Source organism: Homo sapiens, chromosome 9, assembly GCF_000001405.40.
Source record: "Homo sapiens chromosome 9, GRCh38.p14 Primary Assembly".
NCBI classification, from domain to species: Eukaryota; Metazoa; Chordata; class Mammalia; order Primates; family Hominidae; genus Homo; species Homo sapiens.
Window position 1 is genome coordinate 17,031,740 of NC_000009.12, and position 20,466 is coordinate 17,052,205.

At 39.2% G+C, this 20,466-nt stretch overlaps 1 long non-coding RNA gene across 3 annotated transcripts in view; it reads left to right on the top strand.

Annotated features, from left to right (window-relative positions):
* Positions 1-19,479, top strand: part of LOC105375983 (uncharacterized) — a 37,147-nt gene extending 17,668 nt beyond the window's left edge. The window contains exons 3-4 of one of the 3 annotated variants that reach the window (XR_001746629.2): positions 17,180-17,302; positions 18,818-19,479. This is a non-coding gene — a long non-coding RNA (uncharacterized LOC105375983). The other 2 variants (XR_001746628.1, XR_001746630.2) reach the window with 2 other exon arrangements.
* The last annotated feature ends 987 nt before the right edge of the window (positions 19,480-20,466 follow it).

Genomic DNA, 20,466 nt, shown 5'->3' on the forward strand with positions numbered 1-20,466 from the left:
CATTTTGCGAAACTGAAACCCGTTAAGCACTGATTTCCCACTCTCCCTCCTCCCAGCCCATAGCAAACCACCATCCCACCTTCTGTCTCTATGAATTTGACTACTGTAGGTATTTCAGAAGTGGAATTATACAGTATTTGTGCTTTTGCGACTGGCTTATTTTACTTAGCATAAGGTCCTTGAGGTTCATCAATGTTATCACATGTGTCAGAATTTCTTCTTTTTAAAGCAGAATAGTCTTCCATTGTATGTATGTACTGCATTTGTTTGTCAATTTATCTGTCAATGGACATTTTGGTTGCTTCCGTCTTTTGGCCATCATGAATAATGTTACCATGAACATAGGTGTAGAAATGTCTCTTTGAGCTCCTGCTTTCAAGTCTTTTGGGCATATACCCAGAAGTGGAATTGCTGCCTCAAATGGTATTCATATTTTTAAGTTTTTGAGAAACCACCATACTGTTTTCCGTAGTAGCTGCAATATTTTACATTCTCAGCAGTAGTGCACAGAGATAAGTCTTTTCATACCATTGCCAACATTGGTTCTTTTTTTTCTTTTTATTTTGATAGTAACCATCCTAATGGGTGTGGCGTAGTATCTCATTGAGGTTTTATCATTTTCCTGATGATTGGTGATTTTGAGTATCCAAGTGCTTGTTGGTCTGTCTACTTTGGAGAAATATCTGTTCAATTCCTTTCAATTGGACAGATATTGAAATTGACAATTTTTAAGTGACAATGAAAAACATCACTTTTTTAACTGGATTGTTTATTATTGTTGACTAATTCCCCTTTTTAAATCCAGTGATCCGTTATCAGTATTGTAACATTTGGAAATAGTAACACTTTCACATAAAATTAAAACCTATAAAAAAGCTTTCAAAAAGAATTTTACATGCTTTTATGAAACAAGACAACAAAATATCCTTATTCTTATTGTGTGTCTGCATAGGCACTGGGATAATTTTGGAATTTATAAATAACAATTTATTGGATGATAGAGGATAACAAGGTTTTAGAGATGATAACAGATATAACTGAAGCTAGCTCATAAGAATGCAGTAGAATTTTGGGCATGAAATTGAGTTAATCTCTGAAACTCTACACTTTATATCCTAACTGGCTACATTAGAAAAATTAGAGGACACATAAATATTCAAGCACAAATTCCATTAGTTGTGAGAGCAAGCATGTTTTTACACATCATGAAGCCACTCAAAACACCAATGTACAGTCATGAGAAAATGACAGTCAAAAATATAGTATTATTACAAAAATAATTCTGAACTTACAGACCCCCTAAAAGTGTCTTAGTGACCTTCACGTTTCCCTGGAACACATCATGAGAACCACCTTTCTTTTTTTTTGAGATGGAGTCTCAGTCTGTCACCCAGGCTGGAGGGCAGTGGCGCGATCTCGACTCACTGCAAGCTCCTTCTCCAGGGTTCACGCCATTCTCCTGCCTCAGCCTGCCGAGTAGTTGGGACTACAGGTGCCCGCTACCACACCTGGCTAATTTTTTTTTTGTATTTTTAGTAGAGACCGGATTTCACCGTCTCAGCCAGGATGGTCTCGATCTCCTGAGCTCGTGATCCACCTGCCTTGGCCTCCCAAAGTGCTGGGATTACAGGTGTGAGCCACCGTGCCCAGCCGAGAACCACTTTTTTAGGTTATCTACCTAGAAATGGAATTTCTATGTTGTTATGTTATATACCTCTTTGGCATCATTACAAGATGCCAACATTTTTTCCAAAGTAGTTTTACCAATTTATAATCTGAAGAGCAGCATAATATTGTTTATATTTGCTTATATTGTTATTTTGTGTTATTCTCTGTTAGTCTGAGTCTTCTCAGAAGCAGATGTCAAGACAAGATTATACACTCAAGATATATTGGGTAACATCTGTGAAACATAATGGAGAAGAAACAGGAGAAAGCAGGGAGAACTTTTGCACCATGATGCAGGACTGGCACCTCAGAAGGAGAGTGGGAAGGAAAGAGGATTGAGTAGGAAAAGCCTTAAATTTCAGCACCATTCTAAGAAAGCTTCAGCAAGACTATTGGGTAATCCTTGAGCCAGTGACCAGTTGAGAGTTCTACACGTCACAGTAATGAACTTGCATTAGTGCCTCCATGGTGCTTTTAATCATCGGCTGGCTGCCACCTGGGAAACTTGGCCTTTGTGGATCCAGAGGGTCACCAATTGGTATCATGACTCATTTATGCTCCCCACAGATGAGATCTGACCATTTCATGGCCTCCAACCCTTGGTCAAGTTGAGTATCAGATTATATGATATTGTCTGTTTGCACTTCATATTCTGTAAATTTTCTATGCATTTTCTTTTCCCAGATTTCTATTAGATTGACTTTTTTCTTTCAAATTCATAAGAGCTTTGTTTGTGTATAAAAACACAAACTCCATATTTTGTCATATATACCACAAATATTTTCTCTCAGCTTACCATTTATCTTTAGATTTTGTATGTGTGGTATTTTTTTTGTTTTACAACTTCTTAACATTTTGAGCTGTTTAAATATGTTTCCCTAACTTTTCCCCCTAAATCATGCATTATACAAAATATTCTCTTAAATTTTCTTCTAATGTCTTACAGTTTTGTTTACACTTATATCTGTAATTCATTTAGATTTTTTTTTTTTTTTGGTGTATGTATACCCAATAAAGTAGGAGCTTGAATTTGTTTTCTTCTAGCTGGATAGCCAGCATATGAGTATTACTCATTAAAATATCACTCTTTTCCCATGGTATTGGAATGCCATCTTTATTCTGGTTAAGCTGAGATTCCCTAGGAACATGTAATTTTGATATCCTTTAGTACAAATATTCATTTCAGTGCCTGGAAGAGAACAAAACATTCAGCTCTTTCTGAGAAAACAAATGATACTAGGTTGATACTTGTGTGAAGCAAGTGCCAATTCAAGCGTTAGTATAAGATTGCCAGGCTTAATATAGGTACTGTTTCTATTTTTTTTAAAAAGAAAGGAAAAAGAAAGTAAAAGTTCTGCGTCCAAGTGGTGTCACAATGATGATTTTAATGTTAAATTTGACTATATGGTTTTTTAGAAAAGACGGGAAGAATTGTAGCCAAAATATATGGGATGGTGTAAGTTCTCGGCTAAAGAAAGTTTTTAACGTGTTTGCTACTTCAAAAATGTAAATATTCTAATAATTAGTTTATGAAAAATTAGATAACTATAGTAATATATAAATTCCCTCCTTACTGAAACAGTGATCTGGTTCTGATCGTGGGTTTATTATTTACTAGTCATATAACTTCATGCAAATGTTAGCTTTTTTTTTTTTTTTTTTTTTTTGAGACGGAATCTTGCTCTGTTGCCAGGCTGGAGTGCAGTGGCATGATCTCGACTCACTGCAACCTCCGCCTCCCTGGTTCAAGCGATTCTCCTGCCTCAGCCTCCCGAGTAGCTGGGACTACAGGCACACACCGCCACACCCAGCTGATTTTTGTATTTTTAGTAGAGACGGGGTTTCACCATGTTGGCCAGGATGGTCTTGATCTCTTGACCTCGTGATCCACCCACCTTGGCCTCCCAAAGTGCTGGGATTATAGGTGTGAGCCACTGCTCCCAGCCAAATTTTAGGTTTTCTAAAACTCAAATTTGAATAGTCAATTGTGATGAATGGTAACTGTAATGTCATCAATAAAATCTCCCTATGCTAAATCTTTTGATCCTAAGTGCTTAGATGATATACTTAATCATGCCATTTATAAATTCTTAGACTTCTGAGCCAATGATGAGTTAACTATGCTAACTCCTACATCAATCTGCAGAGGCAAGTAAATGCTGACAACACTACCTACCCAATACTAAATTTGGATATTAGTCTCTAAATGTTTTCCCCAAATTTTGGCTATTGCTGGAGAAGCAATTTTCTCACCAGTGGAATGATCACTCTTGAAAGCAATGCACACTTAATTAACTGAGTATGAAGGAGCAACCTTTTCAAGGAAATCCCTAGGGATGGGTTATTTTCCTAACAAGTAGAGATCAGGTAATGATGGTTTCTCTACTCACTGGAAGACACTTGGCCAAATGAAAACTTGGAAGTTGTGGTTTGCAAGGGGTGTGTGCAAATCTCAGTGTAATAGATCCTCATCTGGGTATCTGAACATAGCATGACTACCAGTATAATTGTTTTGTGGGTGAAAATACAAAGATATATATCTTAGCAACAAACAGGAGCTCGGGGAAAATCAGGCTAAACCCTGAAATGGCACAACCCTGAATGTTGATGTCATTCCTAAAAAGCATTTTAGTATTCTCTTTAAAGCTACACACAAATGCTGCCTGAAAGTTTCATGAATGCAACTCTCTCTCATGTGCTCCTGGCCTGTTATTGAACTAATGCCACAGCTTAGGAGCCTAAGTACCTTTGAATGTTTGAAGAAAATAGGGATTTTCTAGTATTAGAAAGGAGAACTTAGCCCTTTGAAAGTGGTAATGACTATCATTTCAAACTTAATTATTTACATGCTTTATTCACTGTTAATTTTCAATCCAAACCATGCCATGGTAAATGGAGAACAAAATTCAAAATCAGACTCTTTTTTTTTTTTTTTTTTAGGGCTATGTGTTTTGGGGATCTAACACAAAATGATATTTACATGTTGTATTATGCTGGTGACATACATTGTCTCACAGGGATCATTTTTCCTGGCTATTCTTTTCATTTTTGGTGTTTCTTACAAAATTTTTCAGGTAAAGATCATTTATGTATGGAAACTTGACTTTGTAGCCGCCTCAATTTTAGGTAGAGTAAATGTATATTTCTGCCAATCAAAACATTCTCTTCTCATCACTTAAATACTTTGCAATTTTCTATAAGCAGCTTCATATGTACCCTTACTTTGTGATTTAGCAAAATTTGCACACAGCAATTAGACCTGACAGGCCATATTTATATAATAAAGTGTTACTTAGCAGTTACAATAATATCAGAGAGTAGGAGAGAGGAGTGTTAAACCAACCTCTGAAAAATTGGGGTTGGCAAAATATTTGGAAATTTTATTGTTAATATGTTTGGCTGGTCCAGTATTTGTAATAGAGGTTCCATTTGAGCTCCTATTTTTCCTGCACTTTAAGGAAAGCACAAAGAACTCCAGGCATTCTCACCTTTGTTGGAATTTTATCGAGAGGACTTCTTGAAGTCAGGAAGGGTCAATGCACCATGTTCTATACCATTCAGAGGACTATGCACAGAGATTAGTCAATATGTTTTCTCCTTTACTCCATATCTGCTTTCAATCACCACCTCTGTTTTTAACATGGAAAATTTTTTGTCTGGCCTTAGAAAAGAAGACTGGCTCAGGTGTGGACAGTCAGTCTTCCACAGGTTTATTAATCCCAGACAAGAGAGTATTCTGGGCCCTGAGGTTATATGTTATATGAAGTTATATGCCCATGAGGTTATATGTTGTAACTGACCTAAAGAAGGGCTTTCTATCTCTTGTTCTAAGGCTTTTTTCTCTTAGTAAAGTACCCCTTCCAAAGGAAATGTAATTCTGAATCCTCTAAAGCCTTGCAAAATAATGTGTTTCTACTAAAGTATTTTTTAAAGATTCTGCAAAGGGACAGAATTACATCTCACAGCACTAAGTAAAGTAAAACTTCCTAAAAATTCGTATTATATTGTTGTCTCCTTAAAGGTTCATTGTCTTAGAGGTAGCTTGTTAGCTCTTTTCCATATCTTTCTGAAAACTCTGGCTAGTACATAGTCTCTGTTGATTCTCTTTGTAGATTTTTCCTTCCTGGGGTGGCTTGATGCCCTTTCCTATGTGCATTACTCTGCAAATCTACTCCCTGCTTCTGGTGGCTTCAGTTCTGCAACTCTACCCATTACTACAATTATTAAAACAGAGGCCCCAGCCCTTTAGCATGTCAAACAACAAAGAATATTTTCTTCTTGGTAGCAGAAAGGGGGCAAATGATCTATTTTAATAGTTTTGTCCGTGTCATATATGTTGCTGGGTATGTGTGTGTGTGTATATATATGTGTATATATATATATAATGAAACCTACAGTAGATGCCTTCTGGAAGATGACTTCTTACGTACTCAAGATAGCCCAGCAGATCAGGAATGAACCAGCACTAGGAAAGTTAATACCTAAAGTTTACCAATCATGATCAGAAGTCATACAGAAGTGTAGCAAATTAACAGAAAACTCTGATATTATCTGGAAACACTTAAATCTATACCAGATTTTCAGATGTATAATGAAAGCATTAAAATTTAGGAGAAACCAGAGAAAAATGTACACTTTAGGTAAAAATGAGGCAATAATTGGAATTTTGCACTTGGCTTCATTGGCTGCCAGCACTCTGAATGGTGCACAATGAAATCTATAAAATGTGTTGCCAAATCTCTGATCAGTTAAAACTGCTTCGTTTCATTCTTCTCTGGTACAAATGTCTTAATTTTGGTCATGTGATGTTATTTGTCTCATCTGGTTTCTTGGAGACTGAAGGTCTCTTGTTAACTGTAGTAATAATTTCCCCCAGTGTCTTTGCAGCAAAGACACTGGGGGAAATGATCCAGCAACAACACCCACTGAGGTCACCGTGGAGGTGATGACTGGTGACTGGAGGCCCCACTAAAGTTTCAAGAATAAGGAATGTGGAGCTCTTTTAAGACTGAAAACTAACTGGCAGACTGGCTGGGAAGGAAGGGTATGTGATGCGGTAGAGGGTGCTTTGGAATCACACGGGACAGTGTGGCCTTAGGCAAATTTTACTGATCCTCTCTGAGCTAGTTTCTTCTTTATTTTATTTTATTATTTTATTTTATTTTTAAGAGAGAGAGTTTTCGCTCTGTCACCCAGGCTGGAGTTCAGTGGCGCAATCGTAGGTCACTGCAGTCTTGAACTCCTGGGCTCAAGAGATCCTCCTGCCACAGCCTCCTAAGTAGTTAGGTCTACAGGCACGCAACACAATGGCTGGCTAATTTTTAAAATAATGTTTTTGTAGAGACAGGGTCTTGCTATGTTGCCCAGGCTGGCCTGGAACTCTTGGCCTCAAGTGATTCTCCCACCTTGGCCTCCCAAAGTGCTGGGATTACAGGCATAAGCCACTGTGCCTGGCCCAGTTTCCTCCTCTCTAAACTTGGAATTTTAATGTCAAAGCTCCTCTGCCTGTGAACTTGCAATTGAACACATTTGATTGCTTCTAAGATGTCCCCACTTTCCCCCCTCATTTTAACATCTCTGAAATGGAGTGTGTTTTATAGTCAATAGTTGTCTACAATAACTGTTGTTTCAATGCAGTTATCATTGTGTGTGTGTAAACATCGAAACTGTAAAATTGCCGAAGGAGGCTTGGAAGAAAATTGCAAGTGTAGAGAACAGTGGAACATTCTTTTAACCTTTAGAAACTAAATGATGATAGGGAGGGGGTGAAGAGGTAATGAATCAGAAGTATTAGCAGTATCTCCAAAGCTGTAGTCAAAGTCAGCCAACTCTACATAATTGCAAAGCAGACTTAAGAATTCAGAACCAGTGGTTTGATTCTTTCATGGGTTCTTTTAAGAAATGCATCACCAACACTGTTGATGTACAGAGGACAGTACTGCATTGAAAAACATGGGCAACAGCAATTCTTAGTGAGTAATTCAGAAAACTCAGCCTCCGAATGTGCAGCAGGTTTAGGACACTTTAACTAGTCTATTTCACTTATATTGTCCTCTGTATGTGTGCAGAAGAGTGATATATGGTTTAAAAAGGCTAAGACTGAAGGAGCTTTTTCAGTAAGTGTAAGATGAACATTGTAAGTGACAAGAAAGTGTAGTGTTTCTATTTAATTAGAAATACTTTTTGCTTTTTTATTCTTAAAACATTCCTATTTTAAGAATGTCTTAATAGCAAGTGTCTTAAAATTTTTCAGTGCCTTAGATTCAGCAAATTGCAGTGTATCAGTCCAAATCTTCCTGTAAAAGCCAAAGCTTGTTAATGCTGCCTAACACCAAGAGACGATGTTAGTGGACACTCGTAGAATGACTCTCTTGGCTCTATAGCCAAGAGATTGGAAAATACACTGTGGAACGTGTTCATAATTAGAAGAGCTTTGTAGCTTCTTCATAGGGTTAATATGAGAATTATAAGCACTTTGTAAAAAGATCCTTCTCTAGTTTCTGTACGAAATATATTCTCAATATATAATAGTCACTGTTATTAATAATAATAGGCTTATATTTATATGTGTACAAGCAAGACAAAGCGACTTGGGCGAATAAACCAATTATAGACTTGTGTGATTCACATTTAGTTGTAGGATGGTAAAGTGACTTACCCAAACCATATAGTTTGCTATGCTAGAACCAGGACTAGTATTGAATTCTGTCTCTTTTTTTAAAAAATGAATTTTATTGTGTATATTGAAAGTAAACAGCATGATATTGTGGGATACACATAGATAGCAAAAAGGTTACTGCAGTAAAGCAAATTAACATATCCACAATGTCACATAGTTCTCCTCTTTTGGTTTTTGTGGCAGGAGCAACTAAAATCGAATTTAGCATGAATCCCAAATGTAGCATAATTTTATTACCTGTAGTCCTCATGTTGTTCATTAGATGTCTATACTTGCTCATCCTACACGTCTATTACTTTGTAACCTCAGACCTACATCTCCCCATTTCCTCCCCACCCACCTTCTGCTCCTGTTCTCTATCTCTGTATATTTGATGGGTTTTTTTTTAAGATTCCACATATAAGTGAGATCATGTAACATTTTTCTTTCTGCATATGGCTTACTTCACTTAGCCATGTTCTTCAGGCTCGCCCATGTTCTGGCAAATGGCAAGATCTCATTCTTTTTAAGGGCTGGGTAATATTCCATTAAATATGTATACGTGTGTGTGTGCGTGTGTTTGTATGTATGTATGTATGTCGCAGTGTCAGTTTTTTCCCCATCTGTCTGTTGACAGACACTTAGGTTATTTCCATCTTGGCTGTTATGAATAACACTGCAATCAACTTGGGAATGTGGATATCTTTACAAGGTAGTGACTTCATTTCCTTTGGGTATATGCCCATAAAAGGGATTGCAGGATCCTATGGTAGTACTACTTGTAATTTCTTTCAAAACCGTCATACTACTTTCTACAATGGCTGTACCAATCTACCTCCCCACCAACAATGTTAAGTGTTCCCTTCTCTCCATACCCTCAACAGCATTTGTTATCTTTTGACTTTTTGATAATAGCCATCTTAAGTGGTGTGAGGTGGTATCCCACAGTGTTTTTGATTTGCTTTTCTCTGATGATTAATGATCTTGAGTGCCTTTTCTTCTAACTGTTGGACATTTTTGTCTTCTTTGGAGAAATGTCTATTTAGTTCTTTTGCTCATTTTAAAATTTCTACAATTGAGTTACATGAGTTCTTTATAAATTTTGGATATTAACCCCTTGTCAGATATACATGGTTTGCAAATATGTTTTCCTAATCCATAGGCTGCCATTTCATTTCATTGTTTCCTTTGCTGTGCAGAAGCTCTTAGTTTGAGTTCTCTTGATTCCATTTATTTTCATGTTTGTTCATTTGCTGAGTATCTACTATCTGCAGGCCACCTCACTGTGTCTGTGGGTGATACAAAAATGTCTACAGTGCAGTCACATTTCATGTGCATTTACCTTACCCCAAATCAACTAAGGCCCTGGGAAATGTGGGAGAGAACACAAGGGAACAATTTAAACAGAGCAGCTAGTTCTGCCTACCTTCCTACCAATAAGCACAAGTCCAGAGTGAGTGTGGGATGGGAGTTGTGAATATTTCTTTCCCTCAATAGTCTCAGTTCTCAAGCGCTTTTCATGATGTGACCATCTCACCTCACGGCAGATGATCACCATATTTAAACATACACATTTTTCACACAAGATAGCCCTTAAACACAAAGTCAACTACCCCATTGAGTCTTCAACATGAAGACAACAATCTGTTCTAATGCAAGAAGAACAACCAACTACTTTGGGCTTACCAAGAGATATAAATTAAGTGCACTTACGTTTGCTTGCTAGTATGTGCTTGCATATATAGTTTATACAGTGCTTCATAGGCCAAGATATTTAAGAAATTTGCAAAGGTAACCTTGAATGTATTTTTAATATCTCAGAGCTTGAAGTGAAGGAAGAATACAATAATGGGTTTGTGGATGGGGAATTTGCAAGATGGACCAGAGGGGTGAAAGACTGAAGCAGGGGGACCAGTTAGGAAACTCTCACAATGCTTCACACAAATGATAGCAGGAGCTTCAACCAGGACAGTGACAAAGGAACAATGGAGAAGATATAAAGAAGGCAGAAACAACCAGTGGGCGATGACTAGCGATGGAATCGTCTAGAGAAGGAGGGGTTAAAGCTTACTTTGAGTTTTCTAGTCTGGTGAATTAGGACAATGATTAGGATAAAAAAATGACAATTGCCGCAGGGAACATACAACATGGATCATTTTATCAGTTTGAGGGAAGTTTGGGCAGCCCAAATTATGGGGTCAGTTTTGGATATATTGAGTTGGAAGTATTTGAGTGACATCCTGGTGAAGCTGTCCAGCAGGGAGAAAATATGAGACTTGTATTTAGGAGGATTTAGGGCTCCATATTTTGATCTAATGAAAATACAACATGCCTTTACTAGGCTGAGATATATAAAATGCGATAGTATTGAATTTTCATGTCCCAAATTACACTGGCTCCAGCCCTACTGACTCACTGCCCAACCACAACTCCACTTTGTCTTATTCTTTGTTCCCCAGAAAGTAAAGCCTGAGGCAAAAGCTTGTGAGGACTTCTTTGTTAGGGACCACAACCCCAGGTAACAGAAGTGAGACTATGGGGGAGTGAGGCTGGAAAGGTGAGGAGACCCCACGAGGGTGCGCTACTGAGCTTGCCACCCTTTGAAGGGAGACTGATTACCCGACCTTCTAAGAATCCATATAAAAATTAGTTCCCAGGAGAATGCAATGCGAGGAATTGGGATGAATCTATTCCCTGGCTCCATTTCACATAGGTCAAAGGTTTGCGATATGGAATATCTTCCTTATACTTACAGCGATGCGTGCACAGGTACTGTGGGGTCCCACAGCTTTTAAAGCCCCGTGTCAATAAGGAAGCTCTGGGGCAGAAAGCAACATGTGGCAGATGTGGCATGGGGTGAGGGACTGTTGCATTTCACTCACAGACTCATGGCTGGTCACCACAGCAATGTCTGGGTGGGAACAAGTTGCTTAAGGCTATGAAGATTGGGAAGGTCAAGCTTACCTGAGGGGCGAATCTCCAACTTCAGTGTGCCCTGGTAAATTCCGAGTCCCCAAAAGGATGCCTGTTATGGGGCCACAAAGCAGCTTTCCCACTTCATCTAGCTTGCTCCCTCCAGTGCGGCTTCCCCAGCTGCTGCTGCTGCCCTGGGTTGAGCAAGGAGACAGCACCGCCTCTGCTGATGGCGGTCCCCAGGAAACAGATTTTCTGATGCTGCCACAGTCTTCTCTTTGGGGTGCCAGAATTGTTCTGGGTCAATGTGAAGGATGGAAAACGGCAGGGGAGAAGAAGCCAACCTCTAACCTCCCACCACATTTTGTCACCAGCTCCTGAAAACTTTGCTCTCACTGGCTCCATGAAGTCCCCCAGGGGAGCTTATTTTTCTTTTCTTTTCTCTTTTCTCTTCTCTTCTTTTCTTTTTCTCTTTCTTTCTCTTTTTTTTTTTTTTTTTTTTTTTTGAGACGGAGTCTCACTCTGCCACCCAGGCTGGAGTGCGGGGGCATGATCTTGGCTTGCTGCAACCTCCACTTCCCAGGCTCAAACGACTCTGCCACCTCCTGAGTAGCTGGGACTACAGGTGTGTGTCACCACGCCCTGCTAATTTTTGTATTTTTAGTAGAGACGGGGTTTTACCCTGTTGGCCAGGCTGGTCTCGAACTTCTGGCCTTAGCTGATCTGCCTGCCTTGGCCTCCCAGAGTGCTGGGATTACAGGTGTGAGTGACTGCACCTGGCCAGAAAGCTTATTTTTCTTTCTATTTCTTTTCTTTTCTTTTTTTCTTTCTTTTTTTTTTTTTTTTTTTTTTGAAACGGAGTCTCGAAAATCTGTCTCTCAGGCTAAAGTGCAGTGGCGCAATCTTGGCTCACTGCAACCTCCGCCTCCTGCGTTTAAGTGATTCTCATACCTCAGCCTCCCAAGTAGCTGGGATTACAGGCGCCCGCCACCACACCCTGCTAATTTTTGTTTTTTTTTTTTTAGTAGAGACAGGGTTTCACCATATTGGCCAGGCTGGTCTTGAACTCCTGACCTCAGGTGATCTGCCTGCCTTGGCCTTCCAAAGTGTCGGGATTACAGGCGTGAGCCACCACGCCCAGTCTTGAAAAGCTTATTTTTCAATGGACCCTTCCATTTCTCATCTTCTTCAAACCGTCCCCCTCTCTCTACATGTCTCTATGCAGGATTCCTGCAGGTGATCCAACAGAGAAGCCGATTATGAGAAGCAGGAGATGCCTGTTAGGGAGCCACAGTGAGGTGCTGTGGTTGCACCAGTGTGAACCTGGTCAATGTCTGTGAGCACATGGTCATCACAACATTGGCTGGAGGAGACAGTGGAGTTGAGAGGATCTGAGGGGGACACAAAAGAGGTGCCTGACTCAGTGAGATTTCCCCAATGGAGCAGGGGAGAGAGATGAGGCCCAAGACCTGCAAACACCTGGGAGGCTGAAGAAAGACAGAAGGGGCTGAGAAGAGACCAATGAAAAGGCATCAGAGAGGTAGGAGGAAAATACTACAGTAGTAAATATAACCGCTAAAGCCGTAACAACAACTCTAGCAGTAGTGGGGATAGTCATAGCAGTGAGCTCTGTATAAACGCGGACTCTGCGGCAGGCACTGTTCTAAGGTCTTTATATATATTAACTCGTTTAATACAGCTGGATGAGGTGGCCACAGTTACTCTCCCCAGTTGCACATGGAGTCACCAAGTTACTGAGACATTAAGGTTCACAACTCAGGATTTGAGTCCACAGCCTGTACTCCTCACCACATCACCCTGTGGACCCAAAGAATATAAGGTACTCCTGAGGCAAGGGAGGATGAGAATCACAAGGAGGGAACAGGCAAGGGCATCTCTGCTTCCTCGGGAGAGAATGAAGACTAAAGAAAGGAGGAAAGGCCATGTGATGTGTGAACAAGAAGAAATCAGTCACTTTGGAAAATGTAGTGTGATTTGGGTGGTGAGAACTCAGACTGCAAAGGGCTGAGGACAGCGTGGGGCCCAGGTCAATTTTTGAAGTCCTTTGCTAGTGAAGAGAAGTCAGTGTCTTATTTTAGTGTAATACTCTCAAGTCCTGGTTTCTTAATGGAAGAGAGGGATCCTGTATCTGGGGAAGGACAGTGTCATCAGCAGGACCTTAAATGTTACTATGCTTGAGTTGGCACAGTTCTCTGAGGTCTAGAAAATGTCCTCAGGTGGTGTCTCTCATGCTAAATGCCATTTAAAAAAGTGAAGAAGCAACACAGTGCTCATTAGAGACTGAGGAAGCCTTTGAAGACAGGAATAATGAGCATATTTTTACTCTCATTCTTTGCCATTTCTGGTTTCCCACAAAATGGCAGAAAGGGACACGCTCTCTTGCCAACCTTCTACTTTCCCTCCTCCTGCCTCATTATCTGGGCCCAGTCATTATACTACATTTTCTGTGTGTTTGGATAGAAAAGCCAGCTCTTCAAACCATAACATTGGCAGCAATTTTCTTCCTACAGTTTGTAAAAATTAAATCACAAATCAAAAGAATATGAGCCAAACATGCCGCAGCCATTTGGAGTTACATAAAAGGGAAGCCATCAACACCTCCCTATCTTGGCTGATGAATGTATCTGATATTTCAGACTTATTTCTTGGTTCTTTCATGACCACAAGACCAAAACTAATCAGTCCAATTAGACAAACTTCCAGATTATAGCTCTGAAGTCAACTCAACAAGTAACATATCCAACAATATAATTTGCCAAGTGTAATTTGCAGGATGCAGGGGTGGGGTGGGGTCAGGGGGAGGCGGTTCCTGATTTATCACAGCAGCTAAAGCCATATTCCAGTCTGAATACAAAATAGACAAAGAAAGAGAAAGTTAGATTAGGGGCACTGAAACTACTGATCATCATGTTTTTCCGATATTAAAAAAAAAAAAAAAGAAAAGGAAAAGAAAAGCTGAGGTTAAGAACACCATCCAGTAAAAGCCCTCAAAACAGTTACAAAAATATGTAAAACACATTCCAAAGGAATTAAATGTAAAAAAAAAATCAAACTCAAAGAGAACTAGAAGAATATATAGATATTTTTCTGATTATAATGGTAGGATGGTCTTTCCTAGCATGCAAAGAAAAAAAAGCCCATGAAAATTAAGAGATTTTACCACATGAATATTTAGTTTTTCTGTACCCCACAAAAACCACCATAAACAAAATCAGGCCTAAGACAAATATTTGTAACCCATATGCTAGAAAAATGATTTACATTCTCAGCTTTATTTTTAACTGATTTTATTGGGATATAATTTACCACACCATTCACCCATTTAAAATGGACAGTTAATGGTTTTTAGATATTCACATAATTGTTCAAACATTACCACAATTAAGTGTGTAATATTTTTATCGCTTCAAAAAGAAACTTTTGTACCCACTAAAAGTCACTCCCCGTTTTCTCCCAACCCCCTAGCCCTGGGGGGTTTCTACTTTCCATCTCTATATATTTGCCTAGTGAGAATATTTTATGTAAACGGAATCATACAAAAAATGCTCTTTTTGTGCCTGGCTTCTTTGATACTAGGAGGGAATATACAACTTTCCTGTAGAGTAATTTAGGCATATTCATAGTTTCAAAGTTATTTATAGTGGTTATCCAATAATTCTTATTTCAGGAATTTGTCTTAAGGAAATAAGAGATGTACACAATAATTTATGTACAAAGAGGTTAATAAAGCATTATTTGTAATAGAGAAAAATGGAAAGAATTCAAATGCTCAACAATAGCAAAACAGATAGATCCATATCCATAAAATGGAATGCTACACCATCATAGATAATTAATTGCTACAAATATGCAAGGTCATAAGAATATGCTCATAATATATTATTAAGTCTACCTACCTATTTGTCCATTCATCCTCAATATTTTATTGCTGGATAAGGAAATGTAAATCTGAGTGATTTGTTCTCTTCTTTATACCCCTTTGGTTTCTCCAATTTTAAAATTTAATTAACATGTATGACTTTTATAACAAAAAGCCATCATTAGAACAACTCACTGAATTTTAGAATCACCTCATCTAGCTCATTGTCTAACACTTTGGCATTCCTTGTATCAGTTAGATTCTCTAACTGACAGAAAACAGTTACATTATAGAAAGGCATGCAACTCAAACTGGCTTAAGCAAAAAAAGACAATTGATTGTCATGACTGAAAAATTCACTGGCAGTAATGGTTTCAGGCATAGCTGGATCCAGGGGCTAAAAGGTATCATCAGGAATCAATCTTCCTCTTTCAGCTCTTTGTTTTTGTTTTCCTCTATTTGGTTTTATTCTTAGATGGGCCTTTATTTTTTTAGGGTTGTTCCTAGTAGTTTAGAAACTACATAAGAGGGAAGAAATTTTTCCTTTAATAATTTTAGCAAAAGTCTCAGAATTTAATCTGACTGGACCAACTTGGGTCATGTGCTTATCCTGGAATCATTACTGTGGCGAAGTGGATAAGAAGACCTGAATAGCTCTCCACCCCCAAATTATCTGTTAATTCTTTTAGCCAGGGAACAGTTTCACGTTAATTTTATGAAGAGAGAGAGGTGAAAGAATGGTTCTCTGAAAGAAAATCAGTGTGCTATTGCCAGAAAAGAGAATGAGTGCTTTGCAGCCAAAAAAAAAAAAAAAAAAAGTCTTTAATTTCCCTGGTCTGTAATACATGGTCTCCCTGCATCTCCAGTGTCTGAAGCAGTTAGCTCCATTGAGTTCACTTGGGTTCATTTGAGTTCTTCCTTACACCAATCCAATATCTACCTCCTGCTAAGTCCACCTGATATGGTTTGGTTCTGTGTCCCCACCCAAATCTCATCTCAAATTGCAATCCCCACGTATCGGGGGAGGGATCTGGTGGGAGGTGGTTGGATCATGGGGGTGGTTCTCCCATGCTGTTCTCATGATAGTGAGGGAGTTCTCATGAGATCTGATGGTTTAAAAGTGTGCGCCTTTCTTTGCTGTCTCTCTCTTGCTGTCATTAAGATGTGCCTTGCTTTCCCTTTGCCTTCTGCCAGGATTGTAAGTTTCCTGAGGCCTTCCCAGCCATGCAGCACTGTGAGTCAATTAAACCTCTTTTCTTCATAAATTACCCAGTCTCAAGTAGTTCTTCATGGCAATGTGAAAACAGACTAATACACTACCCTCTGCCACTCTCAGTAATTTCTTTGGTCCATATGAATAAAAAAAGATGTATCCACCATCTCTTCTTGGAAATTAAACTGACAGTGGGTTTTGTTTGGCTTACACCCACCTGCAGGAGCTGATTACCACTCCTTAATAAATCTCTACTTCTAGTGAAGCTTCTTTAGTCCTCAAAGCAGACAGCCCTGTTGCGAAGTGGCCTGAGGCCCTGACCCTGCCGACAGTTGGAGGGAGATAAGAATGGGGAGCCCGTGAGATGATATAGTGTGGGAGTGGGATGAAGGTTTTGCATCTTGGGAAAGGAGGGAGTCTGTAGCCCGAGCTAAAGGCAGAGCAGGATCCTGGCCATTCTAGCTCAGGTTCTGGAGGAAATAGCCAGCAACATCTTCAGCAGGTAGAGGGGAAATGACAAGAAAAAGAAGCAAGCAGTGTCTGTGACCACCTCCCATCCCGATTCATTGTTACTCAAAGTATCATCTTCAGCCCAGCAGTGATCTCACCATGAACCTCTAATCAAAAAAGAAAGTTGTTTCTAAAAATCTTTAAGAGTAAACATTCCCATAAGCCTTTATTTATGCTTATGAGTAAGTGCTACGTATTGATAAATTCTAATTAAGTATTACTAAAATATGGTAAGAGAATGAGCTATTAAGGGAAAATACCCCACATTATTTTTGTTTGTTTTATTTTATTTTTTGGTTTGGGGTTTTGTGTAATTTTGGGATTTTTTTTTCTCCAGCTGTAGGCTAACCCAAGAAGAATAAAGCATCGGCTTCCCTGACATGCTGCTCCCCCCAAAACAGAGTGCCAATATGATTCCAAGGTTCTTAGCACACTGTATATTACCTCACTCCTCCTACAGGTAAGTAGAAGTTCAGGGCCATTGAAGAGATTAATAAGGGCTGTTGGGAGTTGGAAAAGTCAGAATGGACTGAACTAAAGTGAGAAGGCAGAGGTTGAGAAAGAGACAGTCTTGGGGATTTGTGAGCCCAGCAGAAGCTCAGGTTAAATTTGTTTACTGATGAGTTGCCTGCATGGTGCACTTCATGAGACTGGAAGGCAAGGCTGCCTAGGAGCAACATGAGACTTGGGGGTCTATGTTAGACCTGAAGGACTGGAGACACCTGCCTTCATTCAAAATGGACTAGGCTGCCTTAGACAGTGTACATCTCAGCAGTGACAGTGATGGACCAAAGACCCTCTGTATAAGTTCAAAGACTCTGATTGGACTGTACAAGTAGAGTGAGCCTGCTCTCCAGTAATGATTTCGGGCGTCTCATTAACCTGGGAAGTAGGGACTTAGAGGTCCCCATTTTAAAAGTTATAAAATTTTTCTTGCATGGAGTGCTGTGGCTTGGATTCACATCATTCTATATGGCAGTCATAAATCAAAATTATTAGCGTTTGCAGAAGACTAGTTTGGCATTTTATTTATAAGTTTAGTGGACACACAATAATTTGGCTTTTACTCAGTGAGATACTAGGAATTCCTGCCAGAATCATCAGTTTTGATTGGAGTTTTCCGTGGTTTTCAACTACTAATATTCTAGCTTTTTAGTTACAAGTTATTATTGGTTTTGCTTCATCTTTATCATTTTAATTTGCTGTGATTTGCCCAGTTAGCCTGTGATAGTATATATTTTCATCAACAGAGTTTTACCCTATAACTTCCTGATATATAGATTTTTAGACATCTGTTGATAGCTTGAATATCATTCAGTCCCTACTGTTCATATAATCAGTGGCACCCCCCTATCAGCTTCTAAAGTGGTATTTTATTCTAATCATCATTTTTTTTTTTCTGCTAGAAACTCGGAATGAGTGGGGTACGTGAACTAAGGGGTTCTCTGCTTAGCCAGTGGGCCTTGATCATAGTTTGGCAATTGCTACTCGGAGGCTATAACATCCCTGTAGCCTCTGAGGCCCATGGCTTCCTCCCTACTTATTCTTTTCCTTACCTTTTATCTTTGGAAGCTCTAGGAACAAGAGATGAAATCCTAGTTTATCACTTTCAGTGTTGGAACCATATATTTTGCAGTTGTCATATGAAGATACAAAGAAGTACCTGATGATTTAGATACACTGAAAAAGAGTCTTGATGTGTCGGCAGCAAAAATACAGTAAACTAAACTACCTTTGATGATAATTTATATAAGATTTCATTTCTTCCTTGCAAGTAGGCTGTTTTCTAGTATTGATGTTGAATTAGATTTTTAGGGTAGTGTTTTAAAACTAGGAAAAAGACTTTTTAATACTTAAACATTCAGAAACTAGTGTCATCAATGTCATTGTGCCCACCACTCACAATGAATAAATGTTAACATTTTATAATATTCCCTTCATTTATATTTGTAAAACTGAAATATTACTGATCCAGCTGGAGCCTCTTTGTACCTGGTCCTATTTTCCTCCTTCTCCAGAGACAACTGTGCTCATGATTTTGGTATGTATCTGACTTCTAGTATGTGCTTCCATACTTTGACTACACAGGTATTTATCCCTAAACAAGTGTTGCTATTGTATGTTTTTAAACTTACTTAAATGGCACTGTAATGTATACATCAGTCTGTAACTTTGATTTTTCATTTAGTATTATGATTTTGAGATTTATCTTTACACACAGATCTAATTGTTCATTTCATCTAGTTCACTCATTCTAGGAGACAAAGACACATGTAGAGTATTTCTTTAAGTAAATATTCTCCTATGGATGGCCCAATTAAAATGTACAGTATTCTATAAGTTATCAGCTTAGCTACTGTCACTTGCTGGAAGCTTTTTCTATTTCTGTCTTTCTCTCACCATTAGAGTGTAGTAGAGGCCCTTCCTCTTCCTGGTCCCCTGTGCTCATGTGTGTTATAGACTCCACCACATATTGTTGAAAAATGTCCTCCTTTGCCTTAGACTGTGGACTCATCAACATCAGGGACCTGTAATCTGTTCATAATGTTCATGGTGTAGCCCCCAGGTCAGTGCTGTGCAGGAGACAATGCTGGCACATTTTGATGAACAGATGAATAAATGATTCTATGTCATGGAGTAAGCTATGTCAGTGATTTATTGATGTAGCTTAAAATCAAAGTCCCAAGTAAGTACTTTTTTTTTTTTTTCTTTTTTTTGAGACAGAGTCTTGCTCTGGAGTGCAGTGGCACGATCTCGGCTCACTGCAAACTCCACCTCCTGGGTTCAAGTGATTCTCCTGCCTCAGCCTCCCGAGTAGCTGAGACTACAGGTGCGTGCCACTATGCCCTGCTAATTTTTGCATTTTTAGTAGAGACGGGGTTTCGCCATGTTGGTCAGGCTAGTCTCGAACTCCTGACCTCAGGTGATCCACCACCTCAGCCTCCCAAAGTGCTGGGATTGCAGGCGTGAGCCACCCCGCCTAGCCAGTACTTCTTTTTTTTTTTTAGACAGAGTCTCGCTCTTTCACCCAGGCTGGAGTACAGTGGTGTGATCTCAGCTCACTGCAACCTCCGTCTCCTGGATTCAAGCGATTCTCCTGCCTCAGCCTCCCAAGTAGCTGGTACTATAGGTGTGTGCCACCACACCCGGCTAATTTTGGTATTTTTAGTATAGACAGGGTTTCACCATGTTGGCCAGGCTGGTCTTGAACTCCTGACCTCAGGTGATCCACCTGCCTTGGCCTCCCAAAGTGCAGGGATTACAGATATGAGCCACCGTGCCTGGCCACAAGTAAGTACTTCTTAAAGCCATTGCATTCTGTCTGCTGGACCTAGTTGTCCTCCCCCATTGAACAATGGCAGTCCTTTACTATTTGAGTCTTTTACTATTTTAATAATAGTCTTTTACTATTTTAACTTTTACAAATTAAGCTAATGGAAATAATATTCTCAATTTCATGTTTGTTAAATCTTTGCCACACATTACCACTTTCTTATTTTAATATCTATTAGATGGTATCTGTTTTAGTTCTAAATGACATATTTATTTTAAATTAAATAAGTGACAGTTTTCTGGTGTTTCATCATAAGCACCTGTACTTCCGTGTGCTCTGCCACTTTAATG